The 22216-nt window shown below is 31.9% G+C and overlaps 1 long non-coding RNA gene across 1 annotated transcript; it reads right to left on the reverse strand.

The window, feature by feature from the left end:
• Positions 1 to 16314: 16314 nt before the first annotated feature.
• LOC105375462 (uncharacterized) lies at positions 16315 to 18516 on the reverse strand. Its single transcript, XR_927886.2, has 3 exons — positions 18240 to 18516; positions 16931 to 16994; positions 16315 to 16362 (listed from the first exon to the last, which is right to left on the reverse strand). It is a non-coding gene; the product is annotated as an uncharacterized LOC105375462 (long non-coding RNA).
• Positions 18517 to 22216: the final 3700 nt, after the last annotated feature.

The raw sequence follows: 22216 nt of genomic DNA on the forward strand, positions 1-22216 counted from the left end.
AGTGGCAAAAATAATCAAAACCAACTTTTTCAGAAACTTGGAAATTCACTGAAGGTTTACAACAATCTAAGAAATATTTATTCAAGAAAAATGACTGAGTATCACTTGAGGCCAGGAGTTTGAGACCAGGCTAGTCAACAAAGTGAGACCCCCGTCTCTGCAAAAAATTAAAAATTAGATGGGCATGGTGGCATGCACTTGTAGTCCCAGCTACTCAGGAGGCTGAGGTTGGAGGATCACTTGTGACCAGGAGTTTGAGGTTGCAGTGAGCTAAGATAGCACCACTGTACTCCAACTTGAGCAACAGAGTGAGATCCTGTTTCAAAAAAAAAAAAAAAAAGAAAAAAAGAAGAGAGAGGGAAAGAAAAAAAATTACTAAATATCGGTAAGGACCATGAACTTTGTGACATTTTAACTTGCTCTATTCCCATTCTCCTCTCTTTAGGTCCATGGCAATTTGGAAAGCGTGAATAGCCATGTCCTTACATAATTTGTTGCAAGTAATCAGTGGCAATGATTTAACATTGATGCCGACTGAGGTGGAGATAGTACCTGGTGCTAACAAGAAGCTGACCAAAAATTTTAAAAGGAAAACCTGGGGAATGGTATCTCCGTAGGTGGCTCTGAAGAGCTCTGACCTATTCCTGGGAATCTAGAATGCCAAGCACGTGTGCAGAGTTGTGCACATCTTAAGAAAAGAGCTAAGAGTGCCCCAGTCTTTCACCTCTAGCTGACCTTGAGGCTCTTCACAAGCAAGAAGTGGTGGCTAAGGCGGAATTGTAGTCTGCCTGTTAGAATGTTGAAGCGTACCTCAAAGCACATAGACAACCTGTGGATTGAGATAAAATATTTTCAAACCACACATCTGGTAAGAGGTTAATATCCAAAATATGTAAGCAATTCTGAAAACAAGTTTTCTTAATTATTTCACATATGTGCATGTATCATAATATCACATTGCATCCTATAAATATATGTAATTATAATTTGTCAATTTAAAAAACATATAATACTTTTTAAAAATAATATGAGGCAAATAATATTCTAAATTTCCAAATTTAAAATGCGCACAGGATTTAAATAGATATTAAAATAGATATTCAAATCCTATGCCCATTTTGTATATCTTTTTGTATATTTATGTATCTTTGAAAGAAGATATACCAATGGCTGGTAAGCTCATGAAAAGATGCTGTCTAAGTCAGTCTGGGGACTGCTATAACTACAAACTGGTGAATTATAAACAACAGAATTTTATTTCTCATAGTTCTGGAGGCAGGAAGTGTGAGATCAGGGTGCCAGCATGGTTGGTTTGAGGGCATTCTTTCAGGTTGCAGACTCCTGACTTCTTGTAGCCTCACATGGCAGAAAGTGGATGAGCTACCCTGCTGGCCTCTTCTCAAAAGGACACTAAAATCTACCCTGATGACCTAATTACCTCCCAAAGTTCCCACTTCCAAATATCATCACATTGAAATTAGAATTCAACACACAGATTTTGGGGGACACAAATCCATAACAGATGCTCAGCATCACTGGTCATTAGGAAAATTAAAATCAAAACCACAATGAAATACCACTTTACACTCACTGGGATGGCTAAAATTAAAAAGGGAGACATTAATAAATTTTGACAAGGATGTGAAGAAATTGGCACTCTCCTACATTTCTGGTAGAATTGTCAAAGTGTAACTTCTTTGGAAAACATTTTGGAAGCTCCTTAAAATATTAAACACATAATTACAGACAATAAAGTCAGAAATTCCACTAGTAGGTATATTCCCAAGAGAAATGAAAACAAATTTTCATGCAAAGACTTGTGGAAAAATATACATACAGCATCATTTATAGTAACCCCCAAAGTGGAAACAGCCTAAGAGTCCATCAACTGATTAACAAATAAAATGTGAAAATGTATAAAATGGAACATTATTTGGCTATAAAAAGAAATGAAGAACTGATTTATGCTGCAACATGGGTAAAACTTGAAAAGACCATGCTAAGTGAAAGAAGCCAGTCAGTAAGATCACATATGGATGATTTCATTTCTGTGAAATATTCAGAATAGGAAAATTGAAAGAGTCAGAAAGTTGATTCCAAGGGAGAGAAAGGAATAGAACATAATATGACTGCTAATGGGCACAACTTTTTTCTTCACAGGCACGAAAATGATTAAAATTATACAGGGGAATTGCTTGCACAACTCTGAATATTCTAAAAATCGAATTGAATAATCAAAAGGAAGGATTTCATGATATATAAATTTTGTCACAATAAAGCTGTTACTTGTAAATGTAAACTAAACTTTTCATTACCAGTCAGAAATTTTACATTGCTCCTTTTTCCTTTCCAATGTTATTTTCACTTACCTGAAATAACAGTATCCCAATTTATAATAAATATTTTTAATTATCCCTTATATTTAGTTAAAAATTACGCACATTGATTAAAATGAAAGTATATGTTTAAAATTTTTGTGACTTTAAGCTTTAAAAAATTAGCCAGATTAGCCTTTAAAATTATTATTAGTACATAATTGATCAAAATTTTGGAAATAATTAACAAAAACAAAATTTTATTTGAAAAAATCTTTCTTAATGTGATAGAAGTGGAGTGGGGAGATTAATGTTTATGGTTCCTTGACTAAAGATAGTGTATCGTGACCTTTTGTTCAGCATCTCAAAGGCTTGCGTCACAGCAAATGTACCCTGGTATGGGGGAAATAGAGTAAAGAAACACAGAGAAAGGAACAGAAGAAAAAGTGAAAAGGCAAGAACTTTACTTGAGCCTGTACTCCAACAATATGAAATAAAATTCAAGAAAGTATAGTAAATTAAAAATAAGCTTAGCATTAACCCAGTAATACAATGTTTTAAATCCCAGGCTTACATGTGTGCACCAGCTCTAGAATACTAAAAGGGATCAGTAAAAATTGTTTTTAACCTTAGGGTAAAATTCTACTGATGAGAATGGCTGTTTCCATACAAAAAATAAAATTTACATGCTCAGTTTCATGAGTCTATTTTTAAATGGCCAAATTTATATCAGGGGCATCTTGATCGCACTCCACTGAAGAAATTTTTGCATGGGGACATACTGATGAGGCCTATAAGATAAATTACTAGGCATTCAACCAAACTCTTCTGTGGGGGAGGGGATGCTGTATGTTAAATTTAGCTTTCACAGATTAAAAATGAGGCTGAATAATTTTATATGTTTATTAGACATTTACTTTTATTTTAATAGCCTGTTTTGTAATTGGATTTCTTTTAATATTGCTTATGTTAATATTAGTGTGCAATAATTATTTACATATTATTAGTCATTGATCAAGTATATTAACATACTTTTTCAATTTGTGACTTACCATTTTGTTTCTAATATTGATTTATATACAAAAGTTCAGAATGATATATACTCAAATATGTTTATTTTTCTTTTATTTTTAAAGACCTTTTTGTTGTAAAATCACATAAATACGTGCCTATATTTTTTCTTGCTCTTTTGAAGATTCATATGCTATATTTAATTCTTTAATCTTGATTATATATTGAAACATGGTGCATTAGGAATCTAATTGTGGTTTAGAAAATAAATAATTGTCCCAGGGACTCTTTAGCAAATACTTCATCAATTTGCAGTAATTTGAAATTCCATCTTTATCCTAAACTTATCAACTTATCCTAAACTTATCCTAAATTTATCAACAAATATTCTTTTGTTGATGTTTAGGTTGAATGGTAAGTTTCCTTTTCTGTTTCTTGTACTGGTATTCACTATGAATTACTGAAATTTTACAATGCATTTTAACACTTAAAAGTAAATTACAACTTAGAATAAGCTACATTTTTCCATAATTATCTGTGCTATTCTCATAAATTTCATCTTACACATAAATTTAGAATCATTTTATAAAATTTCCCCAAATTTTGTATAAGAGTTTTGTTTGAGCTGTGGTCCAAGGTGTTAAAGAGGGAGAATCTGGAATTGGACTGCCTGAGATTGAGTTCTGAATCTACCAATTACGTGATGTTTAATCTTGTATCATCCACTTAACTTCAATTTACTTATCTGCAAATAATAATAATACCTAACAATTAAGATATTCTAAATCTTAAATATGCTTGCATACATATACATACATAACCTAACATGATTTCTATCCTAGAACAAAGCATTTAATAAAAATTGTATATTATTATTTTAAAAATTTCATTGGATTTACAAATTATCTTGGGGAATTATAGTCTTAGATTTAATAGATTTCTAATTCAGGAAAACAATTATTGAAGTACTTTTTTCTTTTCAAATATTTACTAATGTTTTTCAAATAGGTCTGGAGCATGTTTTCATTTTATAATCATTTGTAGGCATTACATATTTTTGCTACTTTGTGAATAAAATAGTTTTTCTAATTGTATTGACTCAACTTTTATAGTGATATATTGAAAATACATGTTTTTTTGTTAATGGACCACATTACTGATCCTGCTTATTAGGTCTATTTTAATCAATTAATTTGGGTTTTCTCAATAATTGTATGATACCTAGTAATGATAATTTTATTTCTTCCTGTCTAATATTTACATTTCATTTTTTCTTCCTTTATTGCATTCTCTAGAAATTTAAGAATGATACTGAATAACAGTGATAAATAGAAATCCATATCTTATTCTTGTTTCAAATTTTAACAGAAATATTTTCAATGTTTTAAAGTCCGGTAACATGCTGGTTATTGTTGGAATAAGTCTTCTTTACAATACTGTTTTTTTTTCTTCTTAGTTTGTACCAATTTGCTTTAGAAAGGGATATTGGATTTCATCAAAATTGTTTTTGAAATACAACAAAATGAAGATGTTTATTTTTTAATTATTGATTGATTTAATGATTTACCAAAATTGATTTGTCTATTTTGATCCATCCTTGCATTTCTGGAATAAAAATGTCAAAGCATAAACATTAAAATCAAACTCTTTGTGTTTACATACTTGTTCTAAAAGTTATTAGCCATGTATATTTGGCCTATTATTTCACTTTCTTCACCTATAAAATGAGGATTGAAAAGTTATTTTTCTCATGAGATTATTATGGGGCTTAAAATGTTAATAGATCATAGTAGACTCTTTTAGTTTGTTTTTGTATTTACTCTGAATTGATTTTGTAATGTTTGTATCTAGATTTAGAAGTAAAAGTGTACCATATATTTTTGCATACTTTCCTACCCAGATTTTTGTATCATTTCAGGAGATTCTTGTTTTGTTTTGTTTTGTTTTCAGATTTTCGAAGTGATTAGCATTGAATCATTTACTAATCTACTAATTTCATCAACATTCATACATATTGTTTGATGTTCAACCTTATTTTAAATTCTTATGATTTTTTTCCTTTCCCTTATTAGCTGTATTAGTATCCTATTGCCACTCTAACAAATTGCTAAAAGTTTAGTGGCTTAAAGCAACACAATTTTATTATGCAACAATTTTACTATATATATAACAATATAACTTAATATGAATTACATACCGTGTTATATTTTATTACATATAATATATAAATTATTTTATATATCTATATGTGTATAATTATGTCACAGGTCTAAAATGTATCCAGAGGCCTGTGTTCCTTTTGGAGGTTCTGGAGGAGATCAATTTCCTCTCCTTTTCCATCCCCAGGATGGTTCCCTACTCCTTGGCTCATAGCTGCTTCCTCCATCTTCAAAACCAGCAGCATACATCTTCTCTCCTCTTTGACCTTTGCTTCACTCCTTATATCATCTTTTCTGCCTCAGACTCTACTGTCCCCCTCTTATTAGGAACCCTGTGATTACACTGAGCCCACTTGGATAGTCCATGATCACGCCTCCGAAATCATTTTTGCCAATAAGTCACTTTGCCATATATTGACAAATTACAGGGGTTAATTTGTCATCTTTGGGATGTTTATCAGATAGCTTAGTTTTCTCTAAACAACATTATCTTCGTGTGACTTGTTAATTTTGCCATTTTCAATTTTCAAAATTTTATTACTTTTTCCTTTTTTAAAACTCCAGTTATTTTTCTTTGTCCAACTCTTTGAATTAGTATTTTTACTTATTCTTAAACTTAAGCATTTGCATCTCTAAATTTTTGTAGTTTTGGATGCGTGTCATAAATTTTGTTTTGTAGTCATCCAGTTATTGCCATTTTTAAAATTAATAATTTTAAGTTTGACATTCCCTTTGATCTTTGCATTATTTAGGTGAGTTTTTTAAAAAAAAATTACAAGTGACTCATTAAACTTGTACTTTGCTATTAATTTTTTATTTTATGCATCGTGGTAAAGTAACATCCTAAATGACTTCTGTATTTTGAGTTTTCTTAGGTTTTCTTAGCGGCCTAATAATAATCAGTTTATATAAATTCAATGATTTGTAGGATATAGAATGTCATATCTGGCTTTTAATTAGTATTATTAAATTTATTTTTTTATCCACTGTAAGGTTATTTATTTTTGCCTACTTCATAGGCTTCAAAGGGTCCATTGTAGTGACATTAATTAGAGAATGTGGCATATTAAAAGAAAGCTGAGATGTTCAGGAATTTTTAAATTTTAGGTAAAAACTGCAAGAAATATAAAAGCAAAAAAATAGAACACATTTAATTTTGAACAGTAAAAATTTATTGTTTGTATGTGTACTTCCTTGACTTTTTCTGCACATTTGCCTACCGATGAGCATTTAGGGAAAAGTAATGTTTAAATTGTAAAAAGTAAATAGATAACTTTTTTCAAAATCTTCCCTTTTTCATCTGGCTTTCTACCTACGTATATTCTGAAACTGAAAACTCTTTTGACTTTGCCCGTCTGTATACTGTCATTAAGGCACACATCAGAAAAACAGTGGTGCTTGTGGCATTAAAAGTATGAGGAACTTGCTTCAAACTGCTGTCCCAGCAGAAGGCCAGTGTAGGTTTTAGCTAGCTTTTCTTTAACCTTCTGAATTACAGCAGAGAGCTGATACTGAAACCACGTCTGAAAGTTCTAAACTAAATGAGTTTGATGGTGTCAGCTTAACTGGAGCCAAAATAAACCTACGGTATATGTTTATACTGTCTGTTTTATACATGTCTAGAGCAGGGGAACTATTGAAGTTGAATTACTTCTTACCCCTGGAGAGGGTAGTCCTTCAGTGTCATGACAAAGGTCACTGGTAGGTCATCATGGAGAAGCCAGTTTCTGGACAACAGAGTGCAGTTTCAAAAGCCTGTCAATTTTTCATCTTCACAAAAGCAAAATGGTAAAAATGTTTTTGTAATAACAGAAATATAAATGTATACGTATACATTTGTGCACATTTACATGTTCAGGTTTAAAATACATATTCTCAGTGTGTGCATAGAAAATTGTACCTGAAAACTATTGTTTCATTTGGAATTATTTTTACTTTGAATTTTATGGAATATTAGTAAAATAAGAAAAGTTTCACTTACATACCAATGTCAAAATATCTCAGCTTTGCCAAGGTTAATAATGGGCTTTATTGACAGGTGTCAGGAGATGGCGAATCAAGAGTGAAGAATGCAATCCCCAGTTCAAAAGAACAGAACATTTTTCAAATCCATCAGCATATATAAAGTACATTTATTTTTATTTAAAATGGTAATTACTTTTATTTTAAATTTAATTTTTATTCTGTCTCCCCCACCCCGACCTTTTTAAAGCAGAATAATTTTCCAAATGTTGATTTTCTTTAAATGTAAATTTTATAAAGACAAATTACTCAAAACAAAGAGTATTCTATCCTAATTATTACCAATTTTATTTTAATGTTTAAGATGCTGGTATGTATGAATAATAATCATGTAATCTAACTGTCCACCTTCAGTATTGATCAACTCATCTACCTGATGTCTTCTTGCTGTTGCTATACTGACCTCTGCAGGCTTCTGAAGTTGGGAACAATTGTTTACTCTGTGCATAGCGCTGCTGGCCATTGTAGAATAAAATCAAAGACTCTATAGTTGCCAATGACTTGCACACGTTGATTTATCGATGAGCTTAGATTTCTTTTCATTCTTTGATAAAGAAATTTGTGCATATATGTTTTGATGAATAATTTCAAAAGCAGGATTTCACATTCTTGATTACTAAATAACTTTTTTGCCCAACAAACCTGTTTAAGTTGAAAAATCTTTAAAATGTACACTTTAAAGACTATTTTTTACCTTTAATATAGGAAAAAATTATTGGCGAGTTAGTTGGTGCAACAATGATAGTCAAAAACATTTTCTGTTGCAATTAAACTATATATTGACTCAGACTTTGTTCCGTGTGCAGTTTTATTACATTTTTTCATCTGTTCCTGCATAATAAGCACTTTAACTTGTAAGTTAGGGAATCATTTGCAGACCTATTGAAGCTCATATAAGATCATTTATGAATTCTGATATAAATATTATAAATAGCAAATGAGTTTTGTGATGTATCTATGCACAATGCAATTTTATCCTGTAGCATTGTGCATTTTCTGTAAAAGAATAGTCTGTTTTTTCTAGCCTAATTCTTCTCACCATTTTGTACTTTAAGATTTCTAACATGTATTCATGCCCAACTATAACTTTCCAATTAGTCTCTGACACCTCTTTATACATACATATATATATATACAGATATGTGTATATGTCTAACTCATGGTCCAGTCTGGTTGATTTGCAGAGCAGTGCCCCAAACTTTATTTATGTTAGAGACAAAAGCATGTTGAATTGTAGCTCTGTGTATGCCTATTTCTGATTTAACAAATGACAATATACAGAATGCTTAAAAATTTAGGCCTGGAAATATAATTTTGTCTGGTTTATGTTCCTTTGCTTTCTTCACTTTTACTGATTTTAGTAACTATTTCATCTGTTTGCTACAGCTACAGAAATTATTTTCCTAAATAGGTATAGGGGCTATCCCAGCAATTTCTAGCTCTCCACTAAGTAATAAAATTATTTACAAAATTCATTTTCATTCATTCATGAATGAAATGTTCTATCACCTTTTCTCCATTTACAAAAGTTCAGATGATACTCATTCTGTAATAGTTCCTCTCAGCCTAGCTGTTAACTGAATCCTGTATCCTAGAATTTAAATAGTCCAAGATTTTCATTATAAGTCACTATCACTTGAAACATCCATTTATGTTTTCTCATTATTTTGGCCAAAAACATATAATTTTATGTGAAATACACAGATATAACTGGAGCAAAACAAAATGTGCCCTTAATACATTGTCTTTACAAATTTTTGGATAACTAATGGGAAAAGTTTTAACATTAACTAGATGTTAGAGGATCTTAAGGAATTATTGTTTATTTTTTATGTTTTCCCATTATGTTTTTATAAGTCCTTATTTTTTCTGATTATATAATGTCTGGAATTTGCTTTAAAATATTCCAGTGGTAGTGCTAGAGTGAGACAAGGAGTGGTGGGTGAAAATATAGATGAAATAGCTTTGCCCTGAATATCAAGGGGGTGACTACATGGAGGCTCACAATTTTCTCCGCTCTTTATATGTTTGAACGTTTATAATAAAAACTTGAAAATAACAATAATGGATTCACAGCACCTTCTCCTCACAATCATTCAACCAAGCCATCGCCTTAAACCAGGGCCCTTGAGATGCTTCTTTCACCACACTTTTCGAATACAAACACTTAAGCACTGTAGATCTGGCCGGCTGCCATGTTCACCTCTCAGCCTGTTTCTTCTTCTGTTTTAAGACCCAGCATTTGACTTCTCAAATATGCTACTCAGTCCTATACTATGCCTCATGCTCACACAATCCGGCATGTATTATCCCATCCCTCTACTTCAGTGTGCTTTCTCTTCCTTCCTTTATTCCTTCAAAAGTGAAATTGGATATCCTCTCTTCTAGGACATCACATTGATTTAGGTAAAACCTCCCAAAAATTAGCTACAGAGTTATTCACTTCATCCCCTTTACTCTGACAGTTCAACTTTGTACTGTTTACTATTCATACTTTTTACAATTGCTACTTAATCACACATTATATTTATTTATTTACACACATCTCACTGAAAGAATTTAGGAGTTCACTGAAAGTCTTTAATGTGCTTGTATTTCCAATTATATTTTATTATCCTTGTTTATTCTCCCCTTCATCATCCTTATGTATTGTTTACTTATATTATACTATTATAATGTACATATTATATTATCCTTGTTATTCTCCCTCTCATCATTCCTACATATTTCTTAGTTGTGTTATACCATTATAATGTATCTTTTAAAAGCTACTTTAAATTATTTGTTACAATTTGGGGAAGATAAAAATAAGTAATCAAATAATATTTCTTATTCATTGTGAAACACTTCAGGACAGCTAATGCCTTTTGTTGATTTTTGTATACCCAGCATAAAGTTAAATTCAGCTGAAAAAAAAAAACAAAAAAAATTAAAAGGAATAGTCAGGAATGCGTTTGCCACACAAGAGAAAAAAAGATTGAGGAAAGATTGTTTGAATTACCCATTTTAGAAAAGAATCCAAAATAAATTTCAAAAACTTTATTTTTCATTTAATGTTTTTTAAATGCATAAACTTATTACTTTTTGGTACATGAAGCTAAATGTACTTTGCTGATTTGAGACCTAGCTGTTATCACCATTTATTACTAATTTATTACAATTACATAGTATTCTTCTTGTTGCTGTTTTGTCTTAAAACAACTATTTATAAGTCATAGTGCTAGAACAACATGCATATTATTACAGTTTTTTAAAAAAAACAAACCTTGAGTTATCAGGATACATTTGTAAACATGTTAATTTACAAATACATTTACATAGCTACTTATAGTTTTCACCTTAACCATTTTTTTCATTTATTATGGTAAAATTAATAATTAACATATAAAAAGTAACGAGAAAGCTGAAAATATAATTCTGCTCTTAAGTGTTTTCATATAATTTCAATTCCCTTTAAATAATATTCCAGGATTATGAACAATTGTAACTGTGGGCTATAAAATCTAAGCTATTTTATTAAAAATTCATAAATTTTCAGGGTAGGGGAATGCTGTATGCAAATATTTTTAATATAGTAGATTTTTACCGTAGTATTCTATCTAAAGTTCAGTAGAGCTATTAGATAATATTTAGGATGGTAAATTGACACACAAACACTTGTATAAACATCAGTCGAAACAGACAGAAACTTAGTTGTTTGGGGAAGGAATGGAGATATTTCTGTAATCCTCTTGCCCATGAAATTTATCTTTATGCTAATAGTTTTTAACCATGATTGTAAATAGAAGTAACAGGTTGGCTTTATTACTAGGTAAGTTGAAGGCATGTAAGGCTTCATACAACTGAAAACTGATTCAAATGTGTGTCTTTGAGTTGTCCCTTCCCTTCCTTACCATCATAGCATGAGGGCTGTGCTGTAGCTCTAGGGTCAGCAAGCAACAAGAGAATCAGTAGCTCCCATATAAGAGATCACCTGGCAAGTTAAACTTCCCTCTCACACCCTGCTTCCAAGTCCTTCTACAACATTATCGTTAAGTGGCATATGTATGAGACCAAGGAGGCTACCTCTACATATTCTGCTTCCTTCCTAAGGTGGTTAGAGGTGAGAGATGATGACAGTAAGGACAATCACAACATTTATTCCCACTTATTGTTGCCAGACACTGCTAAGTTCAAGGTTCATAGTCCTTGCTGTGAATGATTTCTGTGATTTCAGATTGCAAAGCTTTAATTGACTCTGTTTCTTCATTTATTCATAATAAATATTATTTGGATTAAAAACCTTGAGTTGGACATTAATCAAAAAATTATCTTATTTGTTTTAATTTTATAGAATAAATAACAGGTTCTGATAGGGTAATCTTCTTCTGCAATGAATACGTTAAAAGTTAAGCCAAGATATTTTGAGAGTTAAAACATTCCTTAATCATTTCTTTAAATTTTTATGTCATATGCAAAGTGTGATTTATAGTCACAACCTCAGATGTGCAAAATTATATGTCTTTATTTCTGTATATCTTAACAGAGCTCATGACCCTCCATTTTTACAGAATCCTGCTGTATTAAGGTATCCTCAGTCGCTTTCAGTTTAAATTTGCCCTTTCAAAATATTGCCTTTTCTGATGTTTCATCCTTTCTCTCCTTAAGTGATTCAGGAAGGCTGGGAGAAGTTATCTTGCCCCTTGCATCTGACCTACTCTGAGTTGCACAATTCCCATAAAGGTATACATTATTGACACCCAAATCCTACTGCATTCATGCCCACCAGTCACCAGGGTCGTGAATTCTCTTTTCTTTAAATCCTAAACCCAAATCCCTTCAGGTTCATTGTCCTACACAGCTTATTCTATGGCCCTTCTCCATCTCATGAGAGGCCTAGAAACTTTCATATACCTCCCTTGTATACACTGTATGGCTACCTATGGCCAAGCTAAAAAAGTAAAAAATAAATTTAAAAAAGTGAAAACAAACAGATAAAATTAATTTTAATACTGTAAATACTGTAAATTTAATACTGTATTTACTGTAATTCAAATACAGTCATGTGTTGCTTAACCATAGGGCTACATTTTGAGAGATGCCTGGTTAGGCTATTTCATCATTATATGAACATCAAAGAGTGTACTTGCACAAACCTGGATGGTATAACCTACTACATACCTAGGCTATATGGTATAATTTATTGTTTCTATGCTAGAAACCTGAACGGCATGTTACAGTGCTGAATATGGTACTATAACACAATGTAAGCATTTATGTACCTAAACATACCTAAACATAGAAAAGCTATAGTAAAAATACAGTATGATCATCTTATGGGACCACCATAGTATATGCAGCCCATTATTGATCAAAACATCGTTATGTGGCACATAACTGTACTAGTAGAAAATCTGTCTTAATTTTGGAAAAACATTCTGAATCCACTGGAAGCTTTATACTATCTCAAAGAAATTTTTTTATTTTATTAATTCCAGTTCTAAGAATGACTTTTGTTTTTTAAAAATGACTTTTTATATAACTTGATAAGCTTTTAAAAAATCATGCTTTAGTTATTTGTTAGAATCTCTAGTTCTAACCATTACTAAGTATGTCATACACAGAATCACCCCTTCTATCCACCACCCATCAAAAAAAGAAAAAACAAGTCTGTAGTGTCATCTTGAGGAGGTGTAGGTACTCATAAGCGGATGAAGTTAAGATCTAATACATCATATCCTCAGTCTTCGTGAAGGCAATGTGAGTTTTAGAAATAAAATTTATGAGTAATATTTATAAAGGCTGGGTGTGGTGGCTCACACCTATAATTCCAGCACTTTGAAGGCTGAGGCAGGGGAATCATTTGAGGCCAAAAACTTGAGACCAGCCTGGGCAACAAAGTGAGACTCTGTCTCTACAAAAATAAACAATAAAAACAAAAATCGTTAACTGGGTGTGTTGATGCATGCCTGTAGTCCCAACTACTTGGGAGGCTTGCTTGAACCCGGGAGACTGAGGTTGCAGTGAGCCATGATAACACCTCTGTATTCCATAAAATAAATGTTTTATTTTTTTTATTTTTAGAAAGAGTAAGACCCTGTTTTAAAAAATAAATAAAATAACTAAAATATTTATAAAGATTTTGGTAACCTTATAAAGCAGTGCTGTGTTTCACTCATGTCCTGCATATCCTACCACCTTAAATTTTTTGAGAAGTAAACAAGTACTTTTTATTTTATAATTATATTGGTTTAGACTCACTTGATTTTTTTATAATTATGTTTATACTGACTCTGAATATTAGTCAATTTCTCAGGTTAATACTAGATACCATTAACCTAAAGTTAAGCAAGATATCATTCTACTATAACTAGTGAATGGGATGCGTAGAATATCAACAGAAACACCTTTTCTTTTCCCTTTAATAAGGTATAGTAGGATTCATTTCCTACCAGTCTCCCTGTCAATATGATCACCACTGCCTCCATACACACAATGGACTACTATCTCGAGTATGTTGTTTATCCTAAATACAATGCACTTCTTTGTCCAATAAGAGATCAGAGCATCATTCTGTGTATTCAACATTAATGGCAATTTTATCCTACTAACACATGTAGCCACTTAATTCTTTACCTTGTTTTGGCTGGGGTCAGAACAGCTTTACTGAGTGATGAAGTTTCTTTATGCCCTGATCTGAAATATTAAAAAAATAAAAATAAAAAAGATGGCCAAGTGACGTACGTTCAATGCATTTTTAAATGGCAATTGTCTTTTATAAACTAGATAATTTTATAAATGAAAAACTCTGAGTTATGAAATGTAAATCACCATTATCTAGAATTTTTAAAAAAATTTCCTATTATACTCATTAGACCATATAAGTCAGCACAGTATGGCTGAGTTTATTTGTTTGTTTGTCCATTTAGCTTATTTGAAACAATTCAGCTGTCTCTGAGGGAAAGGTCATTCAAAAGTTTCAAATTCTAGGTGACTATGTAATTGGTGAATTAACAGAAAAAAAGTGTTTTCATATTTATATTTTTGCTTTTTCATAGTTCCTTTTTTCTGTCATTTTGTGCTTCATGATAAAATGTAGAACTGAAGAAAAAATGTCCATGAATCGCAAGTACTGTGTTCTATCCATATCATTAACTAGTCAAACCTGTGATAAGCCTTTTAACTTGTCCGAGCTTCAATTTTCTTTGTTTTATTTAATACAATAATAATATACATACTCCTTTCACTTTTTAAAAAATACAATATACTTGACATCTTTGAGCTTCTGAATAAAAGGAACATATTGAAGGACTAGCCATCAGGTTCAAATAGTTCTGAACCTGATATCTAGGTAAAAGGAACAGGTAAATAATAATAATAAAACTGATTTGTTAGTTGACTGAGTTGAATGACAGATTCAGTTTAGTGTAAGTTTTCCAGCTTATGAAGACAGAACTTGGGTGTCCCCAGAGTTGATGATGGGATTCAGAAGATACTTGAACATTTATCTTATATATGCCAACATATGTTATTTTTAATAAACACTATTGATTTATATAATAGAAATTATAAAAGGCATATTCGAAGTCAAGTAATTTGAAGTACATGCTAGGTATACACTGGGCCATTTTTTTTCAGCTATAAATTTAGGAAAAAAGTATACTACCTGTTCACATTTGTATCAATGAAACTCTAACCCATCTTACCTAATTTTTTTTAAAAAACTCCCCACCTCCCAGCTAGAACAACGTTAAAAATAATAATATTAACATCAAAGGATAGTAGGAGAAAGCAGTAGCTCAATACTAGTTTGAGCTAAAGCAAAAGAGTGGAAAACTATATATGTTAGGTGAGAGTTAGACTGGGTAGAGCTTTCAAAAACAAAAAGACTCTACACAAGAGCTTACATAGAACTTATATGTGTCAGACACTGTTCTAAGCAGTTTGCATACATAAAATCAATGAATTCTCACACTCAGTAAAGTAAGTTGGATTAATATTCCCCATGAGCCATAGAAGTACCTATGGTTAAGTACCTTACTCCTAAACACAAACATTTTTTAAACTCGTACTCACCACAAAACTGCTACAGCTATCCATTCAAACTTTTTTCATATTTTTCTCTTATAGTTCCATGATAGCTGTTTAATTATTAATTATAAAACAAATTAATTTTAAAATTCATTGTATTTTAATTTCTTCATATTTTACATATATATTTTTCCTAGAACTTTGGAACAATTTTCCTTTGAATCAGAGGTGATTGTTGCATTGCAATCCTATAGACTGAAGACATTTTAGTGAATCTCAATCTCTGTCTTCTAAAATGGCCATCACATTTACAAAAATTTATGGAAAGAATCAGACTGGTGCAGAATGCTGTAATTAGGTGTATAATAAGAGCATCACAATTTGCAATGCATCCTACAGAGGAATAGCTGCCTACTATGATTTAACTAGGATTGGGCAAATGTGCAGCCCTCAGTGCCATTTATGAATTAATCAGGTGCACAAGCACCTCTTAGGAGCCTTCACACCGAGTGAGGAAATCTCCTAAGGGACATCATATTAAAACAGCCCTACAAAACTCATTAGTAGAAACTACATCTTCCTATTTTTAATTTAAATATATAATAGAAAAAGAAACAACCTTTTCCAGTCTATCACTGGACTTGAATTAGGGTCATTGTAATGAAGGAATACTAAAGTTTTTTTGTTTAGTTTCTGAATAAATGCATATCTTATATCTATGCAATTCTGGAACTGCAAGAAATGTGAGGAGAAAACCATTTTTAATGTAGCTAATAATGTATATAAAACATATGTACCTTACAGATCTGTGCAAACAGCAGCACACATGAATGACTTATTTCAACCTGAAGATAACATAAAATGTAGTGGTTAAAATTATCCTCTTGCTTAACTCAGGCCAATGTCAATGTCGTATGACTTTTCGCTATTATCAGCTTTGAAATTGAAATAAAAATTAGACAAAGTTATAAAAAGTCACTATTTTTTTAACCTAGCTATTACAGAAATACTTTTCAATGTTTCAGGCAGAACAGGTAATATAAAATTTCCAATACTGACTTCAACTTGAGACAAGGATATACTTTAAGAATTAGCACTCTGCAAAGTGTGTTAAGTCTGACATTCATGATGTCTCCGTTATTAAATAGACACTGGTACGTACTGATTTTCTTATAAAACTTAATAATGATAATGACCTTTCCTTTAGGAGTTGGGTTTCTATGCTGAAAACACAGATAGATATATAGAATTTGATACCAGACAGACTGCAGCAGACTGTTGAGTTTTTATAGAGAGAGAAGTTGTAATGCATTTTTCACCTTGGACTTTGAACATTGATGTGCCATCATGGCCATCAAATGTATATATTTTGGTTTATAGTGAATATAATTAGTGTTACACTCAATTTATTACCTGATTCATTGTCCTTATGCCCCACTGCATCATTCCACTGCAGTGATTTGCACAACAGAGAATCCTATTAAAGGAAAAGCAGCTGATGGTACACATTTCTTTTCATGTCACTTTACTCTATTTGAAAAGCAGTATTGAGCCAAATTTTTATGACCACACAGAGGCTAGTAGCTTGTAGATATGATGCTATGTTCTTTAACCTTATTCACAACCCCAGATCAAGACTTATTTCCATATAATGTAACAGATGAGTCAATGGTCCAACTGGCATATTTTTTCCAGCTTCAGAAATTCAGATAATTATAAACTAATTATATCACTAAATATTTCACCTAATTTTAAATATGAGAAATAGTTATAACAGCCTCCATGTATTTTTTGGCCCTAAGATGGTTGTTTTGTGATACATTTAATTGTATGTTTATCAAGACACAAAGAAGAAAAACCAACCATTATATCTGTACATACCAAAAATAGGTAAATGTAACAGCCTGTTTACATCCAAAAATACTTACTCAGTATTCTAAAGTTTACATTTTACCTCCAAGCCTGTAATATTGGTCTGTGCTATATAAATAATATTTTACCTTAACTCTAATCATGTGTATAAGCTTTTTAAAATATAATTAGCAATCAAAATAGACATCCACACATCAAATGTTAAAGACTTTAAGAAGGATATGAAAATTGAGCTCAACTAAATTTGAGCCCAGCTCAAATCTTGGCTCTTGTTTGCTACCTATGTTAATTTTCATAAGCTTTTAAAGCCTCCATTCCCTTAAATAGAATGTTTTGAGCCGGATTAGTGTGTTTGTGTTGGCAATGTGTACAGTAAGAAATGCTGTGCAGATGAAAGTCATAATTTGAATGTTCATCTCTTTCCTAGATGCTATATAGATCAACCTATATCACTGTGAAATTTACACTCAAGCATATTTTAACACTGTGTTGACTCAGTGTTAACTGATTTGCATATACAGAACCTATGCAACTGACAAGCAAATAAGTAAGCTAAAAATTAGTTTTCTTTCATATGTGTCATAACGATAGATTGGGAGGGAGATGCGTTTAACTGTAGGAATATCGTCAGAAGACGTGTCTCTAAAGTGAGAAATTGGGAACATCTGGATACAAAAGAATAAACTATGTTTTCAGCTTGCCTAGTAAGAGTCTAACCCTTTTAAGCTTTAAGACAGCCATGAAAGTGAGTGTGACATGGACAAGAATCTTTAGTTTTTATTGTTTGCTGAAGACTAATAAACTGTGCCATTTTGAAAGTGAAAAATTTACCAACACTTAGCTCAGTTACCTCATTTATAAAAAGGCTAAAATCAAAATCACGGATTTTAAAATATTCATCATTAGAACCTCAGGATTCCTTGGCTTGATTCAGAGGTTTCTGGGAGGTAACCGTAGGTACCATGGGCTGGGATCGAGGCCTTCTTCCCTTCTTTAACAACATGGATTTGTTTTCCATTTTGGGATTCTCCATATGATTTCATCTGGAAAAATATATGGGGGAGTGATAACACTGTTTAAAAGAAATAATACCACTGTTTCTATGTGATTTCTGGGTTTCAATTCAGTTTTTAAATACCATACATTTGTTTTTAACATTGGGATAACCATCGCTTATCTGAAGCATTATAAATCTCACCTAGGCCAGGCGCGGTGGCTCACGACTGTAATCCCAGCACTTTGGGAGGCCAAGGCGGGCGGATCACGGGGTCAGGAGATCGAGACCATCCTGGCTAATACAGTGAAACCCCGTTCTACTAAAATATACAAAAAAATTAGTCGGGCGTGGTGGCGGGCGACTGTAGTCCCAGCTACTCGGGAGGCTGAGGCAGGAGAACAGCGTGAACCTGGGAGGCGGGGCTTGCAGTGAGCCGAGATCGCACCACTGCACTCCAGCCTGGGCGGCAGAGCGAGACTCCGTCAATGATAGACTGGATTAAGAAAATGTGGCACATATACACCATGGAATACTATGCAGCCATAAAAAATGATGAGTTCATGTCCTTTGTAGGGACATGGATGAAATTGGAAAGCATCATTCTCAGTAAACTATCGCAAGAACAAAAAACCAAACACCGCATATTCTCACTCATAGGTGGGAATTGAACAATGAGATCACATGGACACAGGAAGGGGAATATCACACTCTGGGGACTGTGGTGGGGTGGGGGGAGGGGGAGGGATAGCATTGGGAGATATACCTAATGCTAGATGACGCGTTAGTGGGTGCAGCGCACCAGCATGGCACATGTATACATATGTAACTAACCTGCACAATGTGCACATGTACCCTAAAACTTAAAGTATAATTAAAAAAAACAAAATCTTTTCACCTAGTTATTTACTTAAACAAACACTTGTATGGTTACTCCTATGAGCCTCATTCTTTTTTTACTACTTTGTAAATAATTTGTTCATTTACTCCTTATAGCATCCTTGCAAAGTAGATATCATACAATGATTCCTATTTTGCAAATGAGGAAATAGGCATGAAGAGATTAACTCTCCTGTCCAATATCCCAGGAATAGTTAGGGCAGAACTGGAACTTGAATCCAAGCTGCTGCTCTAGAATCTATATGATTAACCCCTGCACTCTTCTGCTTTTAAATTCTGATGTATTTGTGATATATTAGTGATATTAATGTAGATTCCTGTCATCTATATTTATAAATATTCTTTTATAAGTATTTTAATGGTTACAAAAAAAGGATGTTTTGTCTCTTCCTAACAGTGGTAAAATTAACTTTTCCAATATAAAAGGCCTTTGTAGAGCTATAGAAATATATGTAAATAATTTTTAGGGAAGATCTCTAAGTATGGATCAAAAGTTGCTGTTACCAACCACAAACTATTTTGGGTAACTAACGCAGAACACACTTTCCATTAGAACAGATCATGAGATTCACTAGTAATAGGAAATTAAGTAATTTTTATTAATTCCTATTCTAATTTCTTAATCCAAAATTTATACATTTAATTCTTAAGACATTTTATAGTATATGCATGTGATTTTTAGATGGATTTTTTATGTACAAATATAGAGAAGTAGGAAAATAGGTGCATAATGATGAACAATCCCCTTAGTAAAATATGTATAAATGTACAGATAAAATCTCCTGGCTATTTGCTTACTAATGGACTAATTTTTAAAATACAGTGTTCTCGTGAAACCAAAATTTACCAGATTTTCTGAAATTGATTTGTATTCCCCAGAATGCAATCTCCTATTCCCCAAGGGAATTTATCATTTGGTTTATTGCTTGAAAGTAGACTTGGGCTTGAAGACTCTCAATTTCTTACTAAATGTAAAATAGAGAAGCAATATCATTGTTTTAAAATAACTGGAGATAAACTGTAGAAAGTTTATTTGGAGATACCTCTTACATTTTTAATTTTTTTATTTTTAGTTATGGATACATAATAGTTGTATATATTTATGTGGTACATGTGCTATTTTGATACAAATATACAATGTGTAATGATGAAACACAGGTTACTGGGACCTCCATCATCTCAAATATTATAATTTTTTGTACTGAGAACATTCAAATCTTCAAGAGACCTTTTAAAATTGTGGATCTCTTAGGAGACGAGTATCCTTTAGCAGATATTGAACATGGCAATTATTTTTACCAATAGAGATTTTCTCAATTGTGATATTATACTTGTTAAGTGAATACACTCACACATTGTGCTTCTATCATTTGTTTGACCAATTATAACTTTTTAAACAAATTATGGGAAATCTTAGATTGTGCCAAATTGTGTCATCTTAGAATTTCAGAATTAATGAATGTATTATACATTACTTTTTTCATTGAAACTCTTAATTCATAAAAGATACTGAGTTGTATTAAGTGAGGAAAGTAGATAAATGTTTATTTATTTTGAAATTTGGTATAGCAATTCTTGATTATTTAGGATTAACATCATGAACAGACATAGTGATACGGGAAGAAAGGCTGAACAACTGCAGTGCATAAGTTAATTATTTAAATAATTTAAATCATTGGTTACAATTAGATATTCATTATTAATTATTTAATTATCCATAGTATATTTGTTTTGCATTACTAAAGAATATCAAGGATTTTTTCTGATATCATCAGTGTTTGTTGACTATACTTGCAATAATGAAGAGGCAGAGAGGATTTTAGAAGGCTGCACATTAACTTACATTCTGTAATTTTCTTACACTGTTATGATAAGTTAAGCTTTATTTAATTATTCTGACATTTCAGAGAACCCTTTTACTTCATCTTCACAAGGAACGTTTTTAACATACTACACATTTAACAAATCATCTTAATAAGGAGAACACATAATATCAAAGCATTCAACAATAATGTTATATTTTAAAGTCTCTTCTGTAAAGACAGCTTCTTATCTCTGGATCTTTCTTCCAAGATTACTTGTTTCTATTATTTACTTATTCATTAATTCTTTTATTCATTTCTCATATTTTCCCTAAAGGTTTCAAGGCTCTTTACAAAAAGGATAAATCAAACAAAAATAATATAGTAGAAATAAAAGGAGAAAACTAAGGCTAAAAACCGAAAAGCAAACCTTACAACACTGAGGGTTAATACCATTGCTGTAATTGAGCATAAAAATTGCATTAAGTTTCCTGGCAGGCAAGGTAAAAAGTACAAAGCGACAAGTTACAAATCACGCAGAGAAAAGAAAACATACCATTTGCTCTTGAGAAACAGTTTTTCCTAGTATTAACCCTGGAGAGAAATTATTCATGTGAGGCAATACTTTGCAAATTGTATGTCAGCCCACTGAATAACTTCAGAGGGTTCTGACAAGAATTTTAAGAACTGAAATACAATAAAGTTGGTTTTTATTATTCAAAGTAATTGTGTTCTATAAAGTCCCTTTGAACATTGAATTAGTGAATACCGAATCATTGTCCCTAGGAGATACACAGGTTTCATGTCTGTGGAGCCTCTGGCCTACACCAATCAATACATAACCTTCCTTTATGTGTGCTTCTGTTTAAAGATATCTTACTTAACACATATTATTCATTCACTAATGTTGGACCCATGTCCAACAGAACCATAGTCATGTCTGAAAGAAGTGTATGTAACCAACCTATATTTTCTCTGTAAGGGACATCACAGCTTTGTCGAATTTAGGAACACTAGACTTCAGCGCCATGCTTGGGGGCCAGATTGAACAGCGAAATCACCAACAAAAAGCACAAGAGTGCAAAACACTCTTAGAGAGTACAAAACACTCTTACAGAGTACAAAAACAAG

This window comes from Homo sapiens, chromosome 7, assembly GCF_000001405.40.
Source record: "Homo sapiens chromosome 7, GRCh38.p14 Primary Assembly".
Classification (NCBI taxonomy): domain Eukaryota; kingdom Metazoa; phylum Chordata; class Mammalia; order Primates; family Hominidae; genus Homo; species Homo sapiens.